Here is a 20357-nt window from a genome sequence, read left to right as displayed (position 1 = left end):
ATCACAGAAATTTAAACACTAACCAGACATGTGAGAACATTAAAAAATTATTCTTAATTTTCTGGTGCAATAAAGGTATTATGTTTAACAAAGAAAGACTCGTGGCAATATGCAGATGAAATGGTAATTTGCTTGGGATCTATTTCAAAAAAATCCTACAGGGGTGTGGGTGGGGTTGGCACTGGGGTATAGATAAAGCGAAATTGCTGAGGAAGGATGATTTGTTGTTGTTGTGGTTGAGTAATTCAGGGGACCATGGGCAGGTTTGTTCTTTGCGTATATTGTGCAATGCTGGGGTTTGGGCTTCTAGTGAACTCATCACCCAAATAGTGCACATAGTACCCAACAGGTAATTTTTCAACCCTCACCCCAGTCTTCTACCCTTCCCCTCTAGCAGTCCCCAGTGTCTATTACATCATCTTTTCTTTCCCTTTTTTTTTTTTTTTTTTTTTTTTTTTTGAGACAGGGTCTCATTCTGTCTCCCAGGCTGGAGTGCAGTGGTGCGATCTTGGCTCCCTGAAGCCTCAACCTCCTGGGTTCAAGCCATCCTCCTATCTCAGCCTCCCCAGTAGCTGAGACTACAGGTGCACCACAACACTCGCCTAATTTTTTTTTTTTTTTGAGACAGAGTCTTGCTCTGTCGCCCAGGCTGGAGTGCAATGGTGCGATCTCGGCTCACTGCAACCTCCGCCTCCTGGGTTCACGCCATTCTCCTGACTCAGCCTCCCGAGTAGCTGGGACTACAGGCGCCTGCCGCCACACCTGGCTAATTTTTTGTATTTTTAGTAGAGATGGGGTTTCACCGTGTTAGCCAGGATGGTCTCGATCTCCTGACCTCGTGATCTGCCCACCTTGGCCTCCCAAAGTGCTGGGATTACAGGTGTGAGCCACTGCGCTGGCCGGCCAATTTTTGTATTTTTTTTAGAGATGAGGTTTCGCCATGTTGCCCAGGCTGGTCTTGAACTCCTGGGCTGAAGTGATCTGCCCACCTCGGCAGATTACTGGGATTACAAACTATTATATTCATCTTTATGTCTATGTGTTTAGCTCCCACATATAAGTAAGAACATGTGGTATTTGATTTTCTGTGAGTTAGGATAATGGCCTCCAGCTCCATCCATGTTGCTGTGAAGGACGTGATCTTGTTCTTTTTATGGCTGCATAGTATTCCATATGTGTATATGTGTCACATTTTCTTTATCTGGTCAACTGTCGGTGAACACTTAGGTTAATTCCATGACACTGCTATTGTAAGTAGTGCCACAGTAAACATACAAGTGCATGTGTCTTTTTGATAAAACTATTTATTTTCCTTTGAGTAGACACCCAGTACTGGGATTGCTGGGTTGAATGGTAGATCTACTTTTAGTTCTTTGAAAAATCTCCATCCTGTTTTCCACAGGGGTTGAACTAATTTACATTGCCACCCACAGTGTATGGGTGAGAAATGATCATTGTTAACCAAGGGTGATATGTACATGGGATTCATTAACTACTTCCTCTACTTTGAACATATTTGATATTTACCACAATAAAGAGGTTTTTTTTTTTTTTTTTTTTTTTTTTTGAGACGGAGTCTCGCTCTGTCGCCCAGGCTGGAGTGCAGTGGCGCGATCTCGGCTCACTGCAAGTTCCGCCTCCCGGGTTCACGCCATTCTCCTGCCTCAGACTCCCGAGTAGCTGGGACTACAGGCACCCGACTAATTTTTTGTATTTTTAGTAGAGACGGGGATTCACCGTGTTGGCCAGGATGGTCTCGATCTCCTGACCTCGTGATCCACCCGTCTCAGCCTCCCAAGGTGCTGGGATTACAGACATGAGCCAGTGCACCCTGCCGGTTTTTTTTTTTAAGATTTTTAGGATAGGCCAGGCACAGTGGCTCATGCCTGTAATCCCAGCACTTAGGGAGGCCGAGGCAGGCAGATCACAAGGTCAGGAGATCAAGACCATCCTGGCCAACACGGTGAAACCCCGTCTCTACTTAAAATACAAAAAATTAGCTGGGCATGGTGGCGGGCGCCTGTAGTCCCAGCTACTCGGGAGGCTGAGGCAGGAGAATGGTGTGAACCCGGGAAGCGGAGCCTGCAGTGAGCTGAGATCGCGCCACTGCACTCCAGCCTGGGCGACAGAGCGAGATTCTGTCTCCAAAAAAAAAAAAAAAAAAGATTTTTAGCATATATGTTTCTTAGAACATCTGATAGGTGGTGTTAACATATGTTTTGTGCATAGGATTTTTTCATTAAGAATCAGTTTTGAGGCCGGGCGCGGTGGCTCACGCCTGTAATCCCGGCATTTTAGGAGGCTGAGGCGGGGGGATCACAAGGTAAGGAGATCAAGACCATCCTGGCTAACATGGTGAAACCCCGTCTCTACTAAAAATACAAAAAGAAATTAGCCGGGCGTAGTGGCAGGTGCCTGTGGTCCCAGCTGCTGGGGAGGCTGAGGAAGGAGAATGGCATGAACCCAGGAGGCGGAGCTTGCAGTGAGCCGAGATTGTGCCACGGCACTCCAGCCTGGGTGACAGAGCAAGACTCCGTCTCAAAAAAAAAAAAAAATCGGTTTTGAAATATAATTACTGAATGTGACTAGAAATATATGGCCAGGAGCGGTGGCTCACGCCTGCTGTAATCCCAATACTTTGGGAGGCCGAGGTGGGCGGATCACGTGAGGTCAGGAGTTCAAGACCAGCCTAGCCAATATAGTGAAAACTCAACTCTACTAAAAATACAAAATTAGCCAGGCGTGGTGGCGCATGCCTATAATCCCAGCTACTTGGGAGGCTGAGGCAGGAGAACTGCTTGAACGGGAGGTGGAAGTTGCAGTGTGCCGAGATTGCACCATTGCACTCTGGCCTGGGAAACGAGCAAAACTCCATCTCAAAAAAAAAAAAAAGCCAGGCGCGGTGACTCACGCCTGTAATCCCAGCACTTTGGGAGGCCGAGGCGGGTGGATCACGAGGTCAGGAGATCGAGACCATCCTGGCTAACATGGTGAAACCCCGTCTCTACTCAATGTACAAAAAACAATTAGCTGGGTGTGATGGCGGGCGCCTGTAGTCCCAGCTACTTGGGAGGCTGAGGCAGGAGAATGGTGTGAACCCGGGAGACAGAGCTTGCAGTGAGCAGAGATCACACCACTGCACTCCAGCCTGGGCAACAGAGCGAGACTCCGTCCAAAAAAAAAAAACCCAAATATATTAGCCGGGCATGGTGGTGTTCACATGTAATCCCAGCTACTCGGGAGGCTGAGGCACAAGAATCGCTTGAACCTGGGAGGCGGAAGTTGCAGTGAGCTGAGATCGCGCCACTGCACTCCAGCCTGGGTGACAGAGCGAGACTTTATCTAAAAAAAAAAAAAAAGAAACCTCAATTGTAATAGCAGCCACCTCCAGGTGGAGAGATGAGTAAGTTCCACTTTCCGAACCACCATTTTCTGTACTTTCCAGATTTTAAACAATGACTATGTATTCTACAATCAGGAAAAAATGCTTTTTAAAAATATGACTAAGCCTAGGTTCTGGAAACTCAAGATATACTCTGCTGAATAATTATATCACAGTAAAGAGCCCCGGCTGGGCACGAGTCAGGCAACCCTGTCCCTGCATGGGTCGGGGACATGGCCTCTCAGACCAGCCCTGGCAGCATCTAAAAGGGACCGTTTACATTCACAGGCTCCTGGCTGCAGAGTAGGAGTGTGAGACTGAACATTTCCTTTCTGAAAGTGATCTTTTCTAGTCCCTCATGGTTAAAACAAAAAAGAAATTGGTATTCATTAAGGGCTTAATTAAAGAACTGAAAATAGCTGGGTGTAGTGGCTCACGCCTGGAATCCTAGTAATTTGGAAGGCTAAGATGGGAGGATCACTTGAGGCCAGGAGTGGGAGACCAGCCTGATCAACATAACAAGACCCTATCTCTAAAAAAAGAAAAAAGAAAAAAAAAGAACTGAAAATATAAATATAAATTACATTTATACTATAAATATTTTTGAGGGCAAAATATATTCTGTCCAACAGCAATTCAGTAAGACCAAGGATTGTTGGTTTCATGTAGAAATTTACATTGGTGATGTCTTCCTGCTTCTATCATAAGAAAATGAAAATGAATTTCTGTTTGCCCAGCATCAGAGTACAGCCTTTTTCTAAATAAAGAGTTAAGTCCCTCCTAGAAAAGCCTTATCTGGGGCCATGCATGGTGGCTCACACATGTAATCCCAGCACTTTGGGAGGCTGAGGTGGAGGACCACTTGAGCCCTAGGAGTTCAAGACCAGCCTGGACAACATAGCAAGATCTTGTCTCTAAAAAAAAAATATATAAAAATTAGCTAGATGCAGAGGTGGTGCTACTCGGGAGGCTGGGGTAGGAGGATCACTTGAGCCCAGGAGGTCGAAGCTGCAGTGAGCCAAGATCACGCCAATGTACTCCAGCCTGGGCGACGGAAAAAGACCCTGTCTTAAAAAAAAAATGCCTTATCTGTAGGTGGATTTATCTATCTTCCCCCTAACCACCCTACAGGGGGCAGGGTGAGAGAACAATACCAAAATCAGCCCCAGCTGTGTTCACATTCCGGCACCACCAGTTGTGTGACCAGGCACGTGTGAGGATCTCTGCAAATCTGAACCTCCTCTTCTGTATCTTGCCCCTGGCATTCACATCCTTATACATTCCCTCCCACACTGCACTTGAGCAGCCCGAGCAAGCCAAGAGATGTGGCAGAAGCAGCACTACAAGGATCCACCAAGCTTCCACCGTGGTCCTTAGGAGGCTTTGCCAAGGGAAAGCCACACACCATGGAAGGGGTCTGGCTTCCCAGAGACCAGCACGCTGTAAGGGCGTCCAAGGGAGCCCTGTGTGAAGAAGCCACAGGGATAGAGGAAGGGAGAGCAGAGACAGCAATGCTCAGCAAGCCCTCAGCTGTCCAGCTACCCCAGACTCGAGTGAAGATGCCATCTGCATGGCTGCCCAGTCCTGTCCGGCACTGAGTTGACTCCAGCCCCAGCCACCATCTGCTTGCAGCTGCTGGAGAGTCGCCCAGCGGAGCCCAGTCCACCACAGAATCACAACATGGCATGAGTCTGGGACACCATGGGGCTTCGGTACGCAGCAGCCCTCCTTTATCTCCTTTTCTGATGGAAACAGCATTAAGGAAACCAAGCACAGGCTGCGAGCCATTCAAAGACTCCCGACTCTCACGCCCTTCTCACCATGCCTATATCAGTGATCTCCTCTCAGGGTCAGATAAAGATCAGAGCTGGCAGTAACTCTAGATTCTGTTGCTTAGTAGGACGTAAGTAAGGTCAGCTCCGAGGCACCTGAAGACAGCTCCGAAATCCTTTCATAAAATAAAAGGCTCAGGTTCGCCATCCTCACTCTGCGGCTCCCTGTGGCCAGTTAGATGCCTCTGCTCCGTGTCCAGCCCATTCCTCCCAGTGGACACGTGACAGCCCTGGAAGAGCTGGGATGGGGGGGAATGCAAATGAGTGAATAGGCCATCATCCCTCAGGGTCAGGGGACAGGAGAGGGCCGGGGGTGCTGAGGACATGCACCAGGGAGACACACAAGGGGCAATGACCTCATGTCAGGGTCCGGAGGGTCCCCAGAAGCAGCAGAACTAACCTCGTTCCGTCTCCACCTAGGGACGGGAGCGTGCCCAGGTATGAGGAGCGTGGGTATGACAGGAAAGGCAATGAGAAAGAATACATCCACCCCAGAGCCAGTGCAAGTGTGGAAGGCTTGGGGACTCGAAATGGGACGCCTGGATCTCAGTTTACACTCTCACGAGACAACTCCCTTCCCCTCCACATCTCCACAGCATGGCTGCACTGCAGGCAGCACTCCTCTCAAGGAGGAGTCTACAAAATCCGAAAAGCATGTTTTATTTTGGTAAAATATACATAACATAAACTTTATCATCTTAACCATTTTGAAGTGTTCAGCTCAGTCCTGTGAAGTACACTGACATTGCTGTGCAGCCATCACCACCATCCATCTCCACACTCCATCTTCACACACTGAAGCTTTGTACCCATAAACACCAACTCCCATATTTCCCCTCCCCCCACCCCTGGAACCACCATTCTACTTCCTGTCTCTATGAATGTCACTGCAGTGGGTGCCTCACATAAGCGGAATCACCGGCTTTGTCATTTGTGATTGGCTTGTTTCGCTCAGCACAATGTCCTCCATGTTGCAGCATGTGTGAGAACTGACTTTTGCTATCATCCTTCAGTTGATGACACCTGGTTGCTAGGTTGTTGCAGATAATGCTACGAGATTCAATGCAATCCCTGTCAATATAACAGCAATATTTTTCAGGGAAATAGAAAAAAAAAATTCATATGAAGCCAAAAAAGAGCCCAAATATCCAAAGCAATCCTGAGCAAAAAGAACAATGCTGAAGGCAACACACCTCCTGACTTCAAAACAAATTATAAGCCTAGAGTAACCAAAATAGCCTGGCATTTGTATAAAAAGACACACAGACCAATGGGACAGAATAAAGAACCCAGAAATAAATCTACATATTTACTCCCATTGATCCTCAACAAAGCCAGCAAGAACATACACTGGGGAAAGGATATACTTTTCAATAAATGTAGCTAGGAAAACTTAATAGCCATGTGCAGAAAAATAAAACCGGACCTCTATGTGTCACCATACACAAAAGTCAACTCAAGATAGACTAAAGACTTAAACATAAGTTGGAAGGCTGAAAACAGGCAGAACACTTGAGGTCAGGAGTTCGAGACCAGGCTGGCCAACATGGTGAAACCCTGTCTCTACTAAAGATAGGAAAATTAGCCGGGCATGGTGGCGGACACCTGTAGTCCCAGCTACTCGGGAGGCTGAGGCAGGAGGATCCCTTGAACCTGGCAGGTGGAGGTTGCAGTGAGCCAAGATCACGCCATTGCACTCCAGCCTGGGAGATGGAGCAAGACTCCCTCTCAAAAAAATAAAAAAAAAGAAGCTCTAATGTTTGACAGCAGGGCAGAATGACTATACTTAGCAACAATACCATGTATTCTCTTTTTTTTTTTTTTTTTTTTTGAGACACAGTCTCACTCCGTAGCCTGGCTGGCGTGAAGTGGAGTGCAGTGGTGCGATCTCAGCTCACTGCAACCTCTGCAGCCCAGGTTCAGGCAATTTTCATGCCTCAGCCTCCCAAGTGGCTGGGACTACAGGCATGTGCCACCACGCCCGGCTAATTTTTGTATTTTTGTAGAGATGGGGTTTCATCATGTTGGCCAGGCTGATCTTGAACTCCTGACCTCAGGTGATCTGCCCACCTTGGTGTCCCAAAGTGCTGTGATTATAGGCATGAGCCACCGCACGCCCGGGATTTTTGAGACAGAGTCTCACTCCGTTGCCCAGGCTGGAGTGCAGTGGTGTGATCTTGGCCACTGTAACCTGTGCCTCCCGCTACCAACCCAATTCTTTTTGTTCTTTTTTTAGATGGAGTTTTTGCTCTTGTTGCCGAGGCTGGAGCGCAATGGCGCAATCTAGCCTCACTGAAACTTCCGCCTCCCAGGTTCAAGCAATTCTCCTGCCTCAGCCTCCCAAGTAGCTTGGATTACAGGTGCCCACCACCACACCCGGACAATTTCTGTATTTTTAGTACAGACGGGGTTTCACCACGCTGGCCAGGCTGGTCTCAAACACCTGACCTCAGGCGATCCACCTGCCTCGGCCTCCTAAAGTGCTGGGATTACAGGTGTGAGCCACCATGCCCAGCCCCCACCCAATTCTTAAAAGCCTCCAAGCTGGGCACAGTGGGAGCCCAGCACATTGGGAGGCCGAAGAAGGCAGATCACGAGGTCAGGAGATCGAGACCATTCTGGCTAACATGGTGAAACCCCGTCTCTACTAAAAATACAAAAAATTAGCCGGGTGTGGTGGCGGGCATCTGTAGTCCCAGCTATTTGGGAGGCTGAGGCAGAAAAATGGCGTGAACCTGGGAGGCGGAGCTTGCAGTGAGTGGAGATCATGCCACTGCACTCCAGCCTGGGCAACAGAGCGAGACTCCGTCTCAAAAAAAAAAGAAAAAAGCCTCCAACAAATTCTAAACACACAGCTTTCCTGAGACTGTCCCCAGGAAGCCTGTCCCAGGGCAGCCATGCGAACCCCTCAATGGCAGCTCTCCTGCGCAGCCTGACTTTGGGCCCATCCTCACCCACCCAGGCACACTCAGCCTCTGCTGCACCTGCTGAGTGAAGGCACTGCTATTCTAATGTTGCCATGGGCTTTCCACAAACATTCACATCCTGTGAATGTTTCTCTTCCATAAGCCCTGCTTCAATGGGGCTCTGACACTGAACATGACCCACCTGCCTCCCTGCCTGCTTCCCACAGCATGTCATCCAAAAGCATGGCAAAGAAGTTTGTAGGCAGCCCCATCTGAGCCTATGCTGTAGAGCACGCTCCCTGGACTATGTCTTCCAAAAGCATGGCAAAGAAGGCAGGCGGCCCCATCCGAGCCTATGCTGTAGAGGACGCTCCCTGGACTATGTCATCCAAAAGCATGGCAAAGAAGGCAGGCTGTCCCATCCGAGCCTATGCTGTAGACGACGCTCCCTGGACTACTGGGAGTTGTACTGTGTATCTGGCTGATTCTCTGGGAAGTTCCTTTAAAAGTGAAAGAGGGCCAGGTGCGGTGGCTCACATCTGTAATCCCAGCACTTTGGGAGGTCGAGGCGGGTGGATGAAGACCAGCCTGGCCAATATGGTGAAACCCTGCCTCTACTCAAAATACAAAAATTAGCCAGGTGTGGTGGCGGACGCCTGTAATGCCAGCTACTGGGGAGGCTGAGGCAGGAGAATCGCTTGAACCTGGGAAGCAGAGATTACAGTGAGCCGAGATGGCACCACTGCACTCCAGCCTGGGCAACAGAGCAACACTCCGTCTCACAAAAAAAAAAAAAAAAAAAAAAAAGTGAAAGAGGAAGCCATGCCTCAAATCCCTCAGTAGAAGGACTGTCACCAGAACTTGACTCCCCTGAAGATGAGACTATCTAGAATCTCAAATCTAGAAATGCTACCACCTGGCAATTCATTTAGAGTTTAAACTTTCATTGTTTAGCTTCCACTTGTAAGTGAGAACATGCGGTTTTTGACTTTCAGACATACAGAGTGGAATAACAGACATTGGAAACTCCAAATGAACAGGAATGAAAGGAAGTAAAGTAGACTTGGAAGAGGGCCAAGCGGGCAACTTGAGAGATCAAGTGCCTTCATTAATTTCATACTTCGCCAGTGACCACCCAGTGCCACTGATACAGGCTAGCTGGGTTAACCTGAAGGGAAGGGTGGGAGCGATGAAATATTATATTCAGGTGATGTTACATTAAAAGCCCAGACTTCACCACTGTGCAATATAACCATATAACATAACTGCATTTGTACCCCTAAATCCATCCAAAAATTTAAAAAATTTTTAAAGCTTAAAATTTCAGTAAGACACAACTTTTTCCAGCATAAGGAACGTCACGCTAGGTCTCCCTTAAAGCAAGAACTTCATTCTCTGGTGCTTGCGTATCTCCCCTCTCCTCCCTCATCCTCTATTTCTGTCATTTCATACTGGTCAATTCTGCTGCTTGCAACAGATGTAGGAAAGGATTTTATGGCGAGTAGATTTTAAAACTGCTGTATTCTCAACACCTACACAATGCCTGGTGCATTACAAGAGCTTCATCAAGGCCAAGCATGGTGGCTCACGCCTGTAATCCCAGCACTTTGGGAGGTCAAGGTGGGTGGATCACCTGAGTTTGGAAGTTCGAGACCAGCCTGACCAATATGGAGAAACCTGTCTCTACTAAAAACACAAAATTAGCCAGGCGTGGTGGTGCATGCCTATAACCCAACTACTCGGGAGGCTGAGGCAGGAGAATCGCTTGAACCCGGGAGGTGGAAGTTGCAGTGAGATTGCACCATTGCACTCCAGCCTGGGCAACAAAAGCAAAACTCCGTCTCAAAAAAAAAAAAAAAAGCACTTTGGGAGGCCGAGGCGGGAGGATCACAAGGTCAGGAGATCGAGACTGGTGACAGAGCAAGACTCCATCTCAAAAACAAAACAAAAACAAAAAAAGCTTCATCAGTATCTGTTGAACAAATCAAAGCAGACATTGAAACAAGACTCTATGTCTATCTTCTACCACCATGAGTAACACAGCTAGCCTGAATCAGTGGCACTGGGTGGTCACTGGGGAAGTATGAAATTAATGAAGGCCTCTGATCTCTCAAGTTGCCAGCTTGGCCCTCTTCAAAGTCTACTTTACTTCCTTTCATTCCTGTTCTAAAGCTTTTAAATAAACTTTTGACAGGGCATGGTGGCTCAGACCTGTAATCCCACCACTTTGGGAGGCCAAGGTGGGCAGATCATCTGAGGTCAGGAGTTCAATACCAGCCTGGCCAACATGGTGAAACCCCGTCTCTGCTAAAATACAAAAATTAGCTGGACATGGTAGCGTGTACCTGTAATCCCAGCTACTCAGGAGCCTAAGACAGGAGAATTGCTTGAGCCTAGGAGGCGGGGGCTGCAATGAGCCAAGATCGCGCCACTGCACTCCAGCCTGGGTGACAGAGCTAGACTCCATCTCCAAAAAAAAACTTTCATTCCTGCTCTAAACCTTGCCTAGGTCTCCTTCTGCTTTGTGCCCCTCAGCCAAATTCTTTCTTCTGAGGAAGCAAGAATTGAGGTTGTTGCAGTCCCACATGGATTCCCCACTGGTAACATACTTTGGTGCCACATGACTCGGAAATGTTCCCTAGTGTAAGACACCTCCATGCCTCCCTCGCCTTCTTCGGCGGGAGGTGCTCAACCCCCATACAAGTTTTCTTCTCCTTTTCTCTCCTACTTACTAACCAAATCCCAAAACAATTCCTCTCAGCCGTAAGTGACTCTGCCCCGCCGGCTGGTCTCTCAGCTCACCTTGATGGGTGGCTCACAGGGATGGAAAGGACCTTGGGTCCAGACCGGGAAGAACTGAGGTGCTAATGGCCTCCTGGACGGGAGGCTCTGAAGAGTCATAGAGCTAAAGCCTAACACCATGCAATGTCTGGGGCTTAAAATAAATAATGAAAATCACAAGTTCACTTTGATCAATTTAAAACCATAATATAGGCCGAGTGTTGGTGGCTCACGCCTGTAATCCCAGCATTTTGGGAGACTGAGGTGGGCAGATCACCTGAGGTCTGGAGTTCGGGACCATCCTGGCCAACATGATGAAACCCCATCTCCAGTAAAAGCACAAAATTAGCCAGATATGGTGGCACGCGCCTGTAATCCCAGCTCGGGAGGCTGTGGCAGGCGAATCGCTTGAACCCGGGAGGCAGAGGTTCAGTGAGCCAAGATCGCGCCATTGCACTCCAGCCTGGGCAACAAGAGCGAAACTCCGTCTCAAAAAAAAATCATAATAAAAAATAAATAAATGAATGAAAGCATAGTATATAGGTATAAGAAACAGCATTTATCTTTTTTTTTTTTTTTTTTAAGACAGAGCCTTGTTCTTCTCGCTCGGGCTGGAGTGCAATGGCACAATTTTGGCTCACTGCAACCTCCCCCTCCTGGGTTCAAGCAATTCTCCTGCCTCAGCCTCCCGAGTAGCTGGGATTACAGGTGTGAGCCACTGCACCCAGCTTATCATGTTTTTTTTAAAAGGCTACTCGCTTGTTTATTTTCCTATTCACCAATTCCTTTGAGCCACATGACCTGGGTTGAAATAACACAGTTTTCCTCAACTTTTTAGAAAACTAACTAAAGCTGGTATTCAGCTTTCCTTCGTTTTTCCCTAATGTCTTACATCTGGTGTTCACGTGTTCTTAGGCTCCTCCTGGTTGTGACGTGCTTTCAGATTCCATGACCTTCACAGAGGACTGGTCAGGTGTACTGCAAGATTTTTTTTTTTTTTTTTGAGATGGAGTCTTGCTCTGCCGCCCAGGCTGAGTGCAGTGGCGGATCCCGGCTCACTGCAACCTCTGTCTCCCGGGTTCAAGAGACTCTCCTGCCTCAGCCTCTCGAGTAGCTGGTACTACAGGTGCGTGCCACCACACCGGGATAATTTTTTGTATTTTTAGTAGAGATGGGGTTTCGTCGTGTTAGCCAGGATGGTCTAGATCTCCTGACCTTGTGACCCGCCCGCCTCGGCCTCCCAAAGTGCTGGGACTACAGGCACCAGCCACCGCGCCCGGCCGCAAGATGTTCTTCTACTCCGGTTTGTGTGGTGTTTTCCTCATGCTTACGCTAGGGCCGTGGATTGGGGAGGTGAGGTGCTTTCTCAGGCCATCCTATTTATAAGGTCACGCGCGTTGACCATCTCACCCAGTCCTGGGGCCTGTCACACGGACAGATGCTCCCTGAAGTGTGGCTGCGGTGTGTGTGTATCTGTGTGCCTTAGAGACAGACACATCTGCATCCTTGGAAAATCATACTTGGTTTTATTTAATTCTATTTAAATTGTATGGGAGACCACTATGCTTTCACTTTAAAGCTAAATTCCTTAAATTATCCATGATTTTATATTTTCATTCGAGACTGTCGGGCCCTTTATCTCTTCTCTGAAGCCAACGCCTGGCTCACTCAGAGAAAGTTTCACCTGCATTCCGCCATGTAAATTACGAGTTCACTTTCTCTCACAACCCAAGAGTCGGGGGCCACATCCTTCCCAGAGAGCTCTTAATATTCTTCTTCTAAGAGTATGGCCAAGAACCACAAGACTTTCTCAGTCCCTCTGGAAGCAATGGAAACGGACTGTTTCACAGCCTGCCATATCCTGCATTGGCAAACCGGTCCCGTCCGGGGCCTCCCAGCACAAACGACACTGACAGAGAGCTCTACCCCGCAGAGCACTACGGAGTGCGGTGCTGCGGCACATCCACCTGGGAAGTGGCCTTGGCCCGTCCAGGGCTTGGTTTTGGATCTGCCGCGCGTGTTCTCCAAACTGAAGATCACTTGTATTCATTTGGTGCAGGTCTAAGGCGCAGCGGGCTCCGTAAGAGCACCCCAGGAACGCACAGCCCTGAGAGCCCGCCCGGGTCTTCCTTTTGCACCAGCGAGGCCCCTGCGGGGGACTGGAAATCCCAGGTCTTGCTCTACCGAGCGTACCCTAGGAGCGGGCCGCGCATCGGCTGAAGCGGCGCTTCCAGGCGGGCGCTGGGCTCGAGCACCCCAGCACCGCGTCCGCAGGAGGCTCCCGGCCGCGGGTTGCGGGCCACGGCGAGGGCTGCCGGGCGGCGCGGGGCAGGTCTTGGACCGAGGGAAAAAGTCAGCCGGGGAAGCCCGCACACCAAAGCAAGCCGCTCCAGCCGCTGAGAACGGAGAAAAGCCGTGGCGTCGGCGAAGCGCCGGACGCTCAGGACGCACCTGTGATTCCTGGGCCGCTCCCGGGCCCGAGCGCCAGGACGCGGCGGCAGCCTGGGCACGCCGCGGGGAGCACCCGCCCGCGCAGCCTTCCCCCAACCTGGGCCCGGGCCCCGACCCCGTCCCCTGCCCCGACCCGGGCGCCCCCACCTGCGACCGCCTTCTCCGCCGCCCGCCTCCCCCACCCGCCCGCCGCCTGCCGCCTGCCGCCCGCCCTACCTCGCCGCTTGGCACGCACGATGCCCTTCTTCTGTAGCACGAACGTGGACCCGTTCACCAGGCTCGACACGACGGCCACGCCCAGGCCGAGCGACACGGCGGCGGGGCTCGGGCTACGCGCCCCCTCCCCGGCCGCCGCCGCCGCCGCCGCCGCCGCTGCCGCAGCTGCAGTCCCCATTCCGCCCGCGCCCGCCCTCCGAGCCTGCGCCTGCGCGCCGCGCCCCGCGGGGCGGGATGGGGGGTGACCGGGAGGCGCGGGCGGGGGAGGGGAGGGGGACGGGTGGGGGAGGAGCAGGAAGAGGGGCGGGGGCGGGACGGGGGTGCCAGGGACCGGCGCCTTAGGCTGCGGGGACAGCAGTGGCGCCGGACGCGGCGGCAGTGAGGGGCCGGTGAGGCGCTGGGTGGGGCGGGGGTTCCCGGATTTCGCAAATGGAAATGCAGGACTCCTGGTTAAGTTTCCAGCGCGGAGAAACACGCATACTTTCTGAGTGGTGTCCTCTGCAATATCCGGGCAGCGGAGCGCGGCAGGACGCACCGGCGGGCAGCGGTCCCCGAAGAGCCTCCAGCGGAGGCCGGCCCAACTCACCGGAGCGCGAAGCCCGGCGCGCCGCTGCAGAGATCGAAGGAGAGCCCTGGCGCTGGGCGTTTCTCTTCCGCCCTTGGCGCTAGAGTCAGCTACATGGGGCTCTGGGCTTGTGATCCCATAGTCTAGTTTCCTCGTTTTAATAAACTACAACAAGCCGGGCGCGGTGGCTCACGCCTGTAATCCCAGCACTTCGGGAGGCCGAGGCGGGTGGATCACAAGGTCAGGAGATCGAGACCATCCTGGCTAACACAGTGAAACCCCGTCTCTACTAAAAATACAAAAAATTAGCTGGGCGTCGTGGCGGAGGCCTGTAGTCCCAGCTACTCGGGAGGCTGAGCCAGGAGAAGGGTGTGAACCCGGGAGGCAGAGCTTGCAGTGAGCGGAGATCACACAACTGCACTCGAGCCTGGGCGACAGAGCGAGACTCCGTCTCAAAAAAAAAAAAAAAAAGAAACAACAACAAAATTACAAGCTTGAAAAATAGGAAAAAGTTATTTTATTTTTTTTGGAAAAAAATATTTTTTAAAGTGACTCAATTCCACAACCCTCACCTAATTATTAGTATTTTAGGTGTTTTCCCATAATGTATACATACTTTTACATGTTTCCAATTACAATATACGAAATTTCCTTTTTATTTAATATATATCAGTTTCTGTATCGGTACATAAATATGATTATTCTAATGACAGTATAATAATTTGTCTAACCATTCAGCCATTGTTGGGTGTTAGGTAGCTACCAGGTTGGTTTGTTTTTTTGAGACAGAGTCTCGCTCTGTCGCCCAGGCTGGAGTGCAATGGCGCGATCTCGGCTCACTGCAACCTTCCGCCTCCCGGATTCAAGCGATTCTCGGCCTCAGCCTCCGAGTATCTAGAATTACAGGCGTCCGCCACCACGCCCGGGTTAATTTTTGTATTTTGAGTAGAGACGCGGTTTCACCATCTTGGCAAGGCTGGTCTTGAACTCCTGACCTCAGGTGATCCGTCCGCTCTACCTCCCAAAGTGCTGGGATTACAGGCGTGAACCACCGCGCCTGGCCGGTTGCTGCCAGGTTTTGTTGTCTATAAACGATGCTACAAGCTGGGCACAGTGGCTCACACCTATAATCCCAGCACTTTGGGGACCGAGGTGGGAGGCTCGCTTGAGCTCAGACGTTCAAGACCAGCCTGGGCAACGTAGCGAGACCCGTCTCTACCAAAAAAAGAAAAAAATTAATTAGCGGGGCGTGGTGGCTTTTACCTCCAACCCCAGATACTCTGGAGGCAGAGGTGGGAGGATGGCTTGAGGTGGAGGTTGCAGTGAGCTGTTATTGCACCACTGCACTCCAGCCTGGGCAACAGAGCAAGATTGTCTCAAAAACAAACGAAAAGTATAAACCTTTTGGCAGCTTTGCATACAGCATTATTATTTTGTGAAGAAATATAAAATAGGGCCGGGGAGGTGGCTCATGACTGTAATCCCAGCACTTTGGGAGGCGGAGGCGGACGGATCCGGAGGTCAGGTGGATGGATCAGGAGGTCAAGAGATCGAGACCATCCTAGCTAACACGATGAAACCCGGTCTCTACTAAAAATACAAAAAATTAGCCGGGCATGGTGGAGGGCGCCTGTAGTCCCAGCTACTCAGGAGGCTGAGGCAGGAGAATGGCGTGAACCCGGGAGGCGGAGCTTGCAGTGAGCCGAGATGGCACCACTGCACTCCAGCCTGGGCGACGGAGTGAGACTCCGTCTCAAAAAAAAAAAGAAAAAAAAAAGAACTCCACCCCAGACATTTTTCCATGTGAGTACATAGGTTAAATGACAGGCATATTTTATCTGATGGGGAAACACATATGGGATTTTAATTAAAAACATAAAACTATATTTTGCTTGAATTTAACAAAAGAAAAACTGAAATGAAACTACAGTAACTACTGAATGACAAACATTATTTTGCCATGAGATATTACTTCCTAAAAGATACACCTAAAATTAAAGTTAGTAGGCCAGGTACAGTGGCTCATGCCTATAATCCCAGTACTTTGGGAGGCCAAGGCCAGCAGATCACTTGAGCCCAGGAGTTTGAGATCAGCCTGGGCAACATGATGAAACCCCATCTCTGCAAAAAAATACAAAAATTAGCCAGGCATGGTGACATGTGCTTGTAGTCCCAGCTACTCAGGAGGCTATGGGAGGATCACTTGACCCCAGAAGTTGAGGCTACAGTGAGCCATGATCACGCCACTGCACTCCAGCCTGGGCAACAGAAGTGAGACCCTGTCTCAAAAAAAAAAAAAAAAAAGTGAGAAACACTAAGAGGGTGGGAGTTACGTTTATTTTAACTCTGGGTTTCAATTTTGGGCTATCAATTGATTCCTTGCAAGGAGAAATGAGGAAATCAGTTCACTTTTCAGCTCCCTAAAAAATTTTTTTTTCGTCTTATGTTTTGAGATGGAGTCTTGCTCTGTCACCCAGGCTGGAGTGCAGTGGCGTGATCTTGGCTCACTGCAACCTACGCTTCATGGGTTCAACCAATTCTCTGCTTCAGCCTCCCAAGTAGCTGGGATTACAGACGCCTGCCACCACGCCTGGCGAATTTTTTTGTATTTTTAGTAGAGACAGGGTTTCACCATCTCGGCCAGGCTGGTCTTGAACTACTGACTTCGTGATCCACCAGCTTCGGCCTCCCAAAGTGCTGGGATTACAGGCGTGAGCCACTGTACCCGGCCAAGAATTGTTTCTTCTCCTTACCTAGGTAGAGACTTCTGTAGAAATGCCGGGAGATTTTTGGAGAGGGGAGATTTTTCTTTTTTTTCTTTTCTTTTCTTTTCTTTTTTTTTTTTTTTGAGATGGAGTCTCGCTCTGTTGCCCAGGCTGGAGTGCAGTGGCGCGATCTTGGCTCACTGCAAGCTCCACCTCCCGGATTCACGCCATTCTCCTGCCTCAGCCTCCCAAGTAGCTGGGACTACAAGCACCCGCCACCATGCCTGGCTAATTTTTTATGTTTTTAGTAGAGATGGGGTTTCACTGCGTTTGCCAGGATGGTCTCGATCTCCTGACCTCATGATGTGCCCGCCTTGGCCTCCCAAAGTGCTGGGATTACAGGCGTGAGCCACCGCGCCCGGTGGGAGATTTTTCAGATAAAAAATTCAGCAGTTTGGGAGGCCAAGGTGGGTGGATCATGAGGTCAGGAGTTGAAGACCAGCCTGGCCAAGATGGTGAAACCCCGTCTCTACTAAAAATACAAAAATTAGCCAGACACAATGGCAGGTGCCTGTAATCCCAGCTACTCGGGAGGCTGAGGTAGGAGAATCCCTTGAACCTGGGTGGCAGAGGTTGCAGTGAGCCGAGATAGCACCACTGCACTCCAGCCTGGGCAATAAGAGTCAGACTCCGTCTAAAAAAAAAAAAAAATTTAATGGATCTAGTTCTAAACCTCATTTTGAATCCACCCACGTTGCTCTGAAATACATTCATCTTTCCTGTGGCTAAAACCTTAAAGCCTAGCCAGTAACTCCCATTGCACTTGAGGAAATCCAGTCTCCTTGCTGTGGCCCCTAACAGGCTGCTGCTGGCCCACCACGGTGCCTCTAGTTTGTGTAAAATGCATATGTTAATTCATAATAAACCATACAAGGCTTTTTTTTTTTTAGCTCTAAAAGGCTATTATTTACTAGTTGCTGTGTGAATCAGTATTTCTGGGTGCAGTTAGAAATTATTAGAGTTAATGCCCAAGACTCATCTCAACCAACACGGGGGAGGGCATCTGCTCCTTTTATGGTCAGTGACTCTGGGCCTCCTTCTGCTGGGCTCAGTCCTGAGGTGGGTCTGACTCAGGTCAGAGCTGTGCACCCCGGCCCTCCTCCCCAACGTGCATGAGTGCTCTTTAGGATGGAGCTGAACACCGGCTTCTCAAAACCATGTGGCCCCATCACAGGCCCTGAGAACTGATTGGGTCACTCTGGTGGGCTCCCCAGCCCTAGACAAGAAGGGTTTCTCTAGGGAGCCTGGCCCCCACTCATGAGACCTGGAGCCTCAAAGATCTCTTCGGAGCCCCAAAGATCTCTTTGCAGTGTATCAGCCCAGGCCTCCACACTGTGGCCTCTGCTCTCCTCTCCTGTTCCCCATGTGCATTTTCTTTTTCTTTTTGGCTTCACTTCTGAGTTATTCATTTAGCCATTTACTGCAGGAGCGAGGTGAGGATAGGAGAGTACTTGGGGTACCCGTAATGTTCACTGTGGTCTGGGGGTCCCCGAGCAGGACAGTGAGTTTGGGGTCTGGGGCTCAGGCGCTATGGGAGTAGACTGTGCGAAGTGACAGGAAGACATCCGCCTTGCATATTTTCTTTGGTTTTAAAGAAAGACGTTACCATTTCATGTTATATTTGTTTTATGAGACAGTTTCATTCTGTTGCCCAGGCTGGAGTGCAATGGTGCGATCTCAGCTCACTGCAACCTCCGCATCCCAGGTTCAACCGATTCTCCTGCCTCAGTCTCCTGAGTAGCTGAGATTACAAAAAAAAAAAGGTACATTTTAAAGCAGAGTAACAAATTGATAACTAAGCGTGGAGTGGAAAGAGGTGACCCCCGAGGACTGGAAATGGCAACGTTAGACTATGAACTACATTTCTCCCATGGCTGATTTGGCCTATGCCCAGGAATGAGCAAAGACAGCAGGCCCGTGAGACTGGAAGCAAGATGGAGTCAGCCATGCTAAACTTCTCTCACTGTCATCTTTGCAAAGCTGGTCTCACCATTTATTGAAGTGAATATTCTTTTTTTTTTTTTTTTAATGAGACGAAGTCTTACTCTGTTGCCCACACAGGAGTGCAATGGTGCAATCTTGGCTCACTGCAACCTCCACCTCCTGGGTTCAAGCAATTCTCCTGCCTCAGCCTCCCGAGTAGCTGGGATATCAGGTGCCCACCACCATGCCTGGCTAATTTTTGTATTTTTAGTAGAAATGGGGTTTCACCATGTTGGGCCTCACAATACACATCAGCCCATCTCCTCTCCTGCTTGACAGGGATGGTCATGATCCTCATTTCCCAGTTAAACAAGCCGAAACTCCATTATGGGGTTTCACCATATTGGCCAGGCTGGTCTCGAACCCCTGACCACAAGTGATCCAAGCACCTCGGCCTCCAAAGTGCTGAGATTACAAGTGTGAGCCACTATACCCAGCCAATTAGGGGTAAATATCCAACATTTAGCCCGGTGCAGTGGCTCACTCCTTAATCCCAGCACTTTCAGAAGCTGAGGTAGGAGGATCACTTGAGCCCAGGAGTTTGAGTCCAGGTCTGGCAACATAGTGAGACCTTGTCTTAACAAAAAATTTAGAACTTAGCCAGGCATGGTGGTGTGCGCCTGTAGTCACAACTACTTGGGAGGCTGAGATGGAGGAGTGTTTGAACCCAGAAGGTCAAGTAAGCTGTGATTGTGCCACTGTACTCCAGTCTGTGTAACAGAGCAAGACCCTGTCTCCAAAAAAAAAAAAAAAAAAAAATCCAAAATGTATAAAGAATTAATACAACTCAAAACAAATAACCTAATTTTTAAAATGTTTTTAAAAAACTTGAATAGACATTTCTTTAAACAAAACATGAAAATAGCAAGTGGGTATCTGAAAGGCGTTTTGCATTGTAAATCATTAGGGAAATGCAAATCAAACCCATTGAGATGCCACCTCACACCCCTTATGACTATTATCAAAAAGTCAAAAGATAAATGTTGGCAAGGGTGTGGCGAAATAGGAACTTTTGCATACTGTTGATGAGAATGTACATTGATACAGTCATTCTGGAAAAGAGTATGAAGATTTCTAGAGAAATTAAAAATAGAACTACCATATGACTCAGCAATCCCTCTTCTGAGCATACACCCAAAGGAAATGAAATCATTACTATGTAAAGTTACCTGTATTCTCATGTTCATTGCAGTCCTAACCATAATAGCCAAGATATGGAAACAATCTAAGTGTCCATCAATGGATAAATGGATAAAGAGACTGTGGCACACACACACAATGGAATATTATTCAGCCCTAAAACAAACAAGGTCTTGCCATTTGCTGCAAGATGGATGAGGCTGGAGGACGTCATGCTAAGTGAAATAAAGCATACACAGAAAAACAAATATTGCATAAACCCATTTATATGTGGGATGTAAAAATGTAAATAAATAAATCTACAGAGATAGAGAGCAAAACATTGTTTACCAGGGG

At 49.2% G+C, this 20357-nt stretch overlaps 1 protein-coding gene across 2 annotated transcripts in view, besides 7 other annotated features; it reads right to left on the bottom strand.

The window, feature by feature from the left end:
- The window catches only part of NIPA1 (NIPA magnesium transporter 1), a 43565-nt gene extending 29387 nt beyond the window's left edge, over positions 1-14178 (bottom strand). Inside the window, exon 1 of one of the 2 annotated variants that reach the window (NM_001142275.1) lies at positions 14155-14178. Coding sequence is in view for 1 of the 2 variants with exons in the window: in NM_144599.5 (NP_653200.2) it covers positions 13569-13746 (178 nt within the window). In the remaining variant the exon portion in view is untranslated. Of the gene's footprint in view, positions 1-13568; positions 13760-14154 lie in introns of those variants that run through there. The other variant, NM_144599.5, reaches the window with a different exon arrangement.
- Positions 3339-3618: an enhancer, noted in NCBI's record as "active region_9155". NCBI's record gives its function as "activates an Ori minimal core promoter by ATAC-STARR-seq in GM12878 lymphoblastoid cells {active_cell/tissue: GM12878}" and the evidence as "EXISTENCE:reporter gene assay evidence [ECO:0000049][PMID:35858748]".
- Positions 7478-7978: an enhancer, noted in NCBI's record as "H3K4me1 hESC enhancer chr15:23080143-23080643 (GRCh37/hg19 assembly coordinates)". NCBI's record gives its function as "activates a minimal SCP1, AML or CMV promoter by ChIP-STARR-seq in primed H9 embryonic stem cells {active_cell/tissue: H9 hESC(primed)}" and the evidence as "EXISTENCE:reporter gene assay evidence [ECO:0000049][PMID:30033119]".
- Positions 12712-12821: an enhancer, noted in NCBI's record as "active region_9154". NCBI's record gives its function as "activates an Ori minimal core promoter by ATAC-STARR-seq in GM12878 lymphoblastoid cells {active_cell/tissue: GM12878}" and the evidence as "EXISTENCE:reporter gene assay evidence [ECO:0000049][PMID:35858748]".
- Positions 13172-13301: a silencer, noted in NCBI's record as "silent region_6261". NCBI's record gives its function as "represses an Ori minimal core promoter by ATAC-STARR-seq in GM12878 lymphoblastoid cells {active_cell/tissue: GM12878}" and the evidence as "EXISTENCE:reporter gene assay evidence [ECO:0000049][PMID:35858748]".
- Positions 13312-13461: a silencer, noted in NCBI's record as "silent region_6260". NCBI's record gives its function as "represses an Ori minimal core promoter by ATAC-STARR-seq in GM12878 lymphoblastoid cells {active_cell/tissue: GM12878}" and the evidence as "EXISTENCE:reporter gene assay evidence [ECO:0000049][PMID:35858748]".
- Positions 13532-13891: a silencer, noted in NCBI's record as "silent region_6259". NCBI's record gives its function as "represses an Ori minimal core promoter by ATAC-STARR-seq in GM12878 lymphoblastoid cells {active_cell/tissue: GM12878}" and the evidence as "EXISTENCE:reporter gene assay evidence [ECO:0000049][PMID:35858748]".
- Positions 13854-14087: a silencer, noted in NCBI's record as "fragment chr15:23086519-23086752 (GRCh37/hg19 assembly coordinates)". NCBI's record gives its function as "represses an EF-1alpha promoter that drives an FKBP-Casp9 reporter gene in an ReSE screen in K562 erythroleukemia cells {active_cell/tissue: K562}" and the evidence as "EXISTENCE:reporter gene assay evidence [ECO:0000049][PMID:32094911]".

This window comes from Homo sapiens, chromosome 15 (assembly GCF_000001405.40).
Source record: "Homo sapiens chromosome 15, GRCh38.p14 Primary Assembly".
Taxonomy (NCBI): Eukaryota; Metazoa; Chordata; class Mammalia; order Primates; family Hominidae; genus Homo; species Homo sapiens.
Note: the sequence above shows the minus strand (reverse complement) of the source record. Positions and strands in the feature narration are given on the sequence as shown.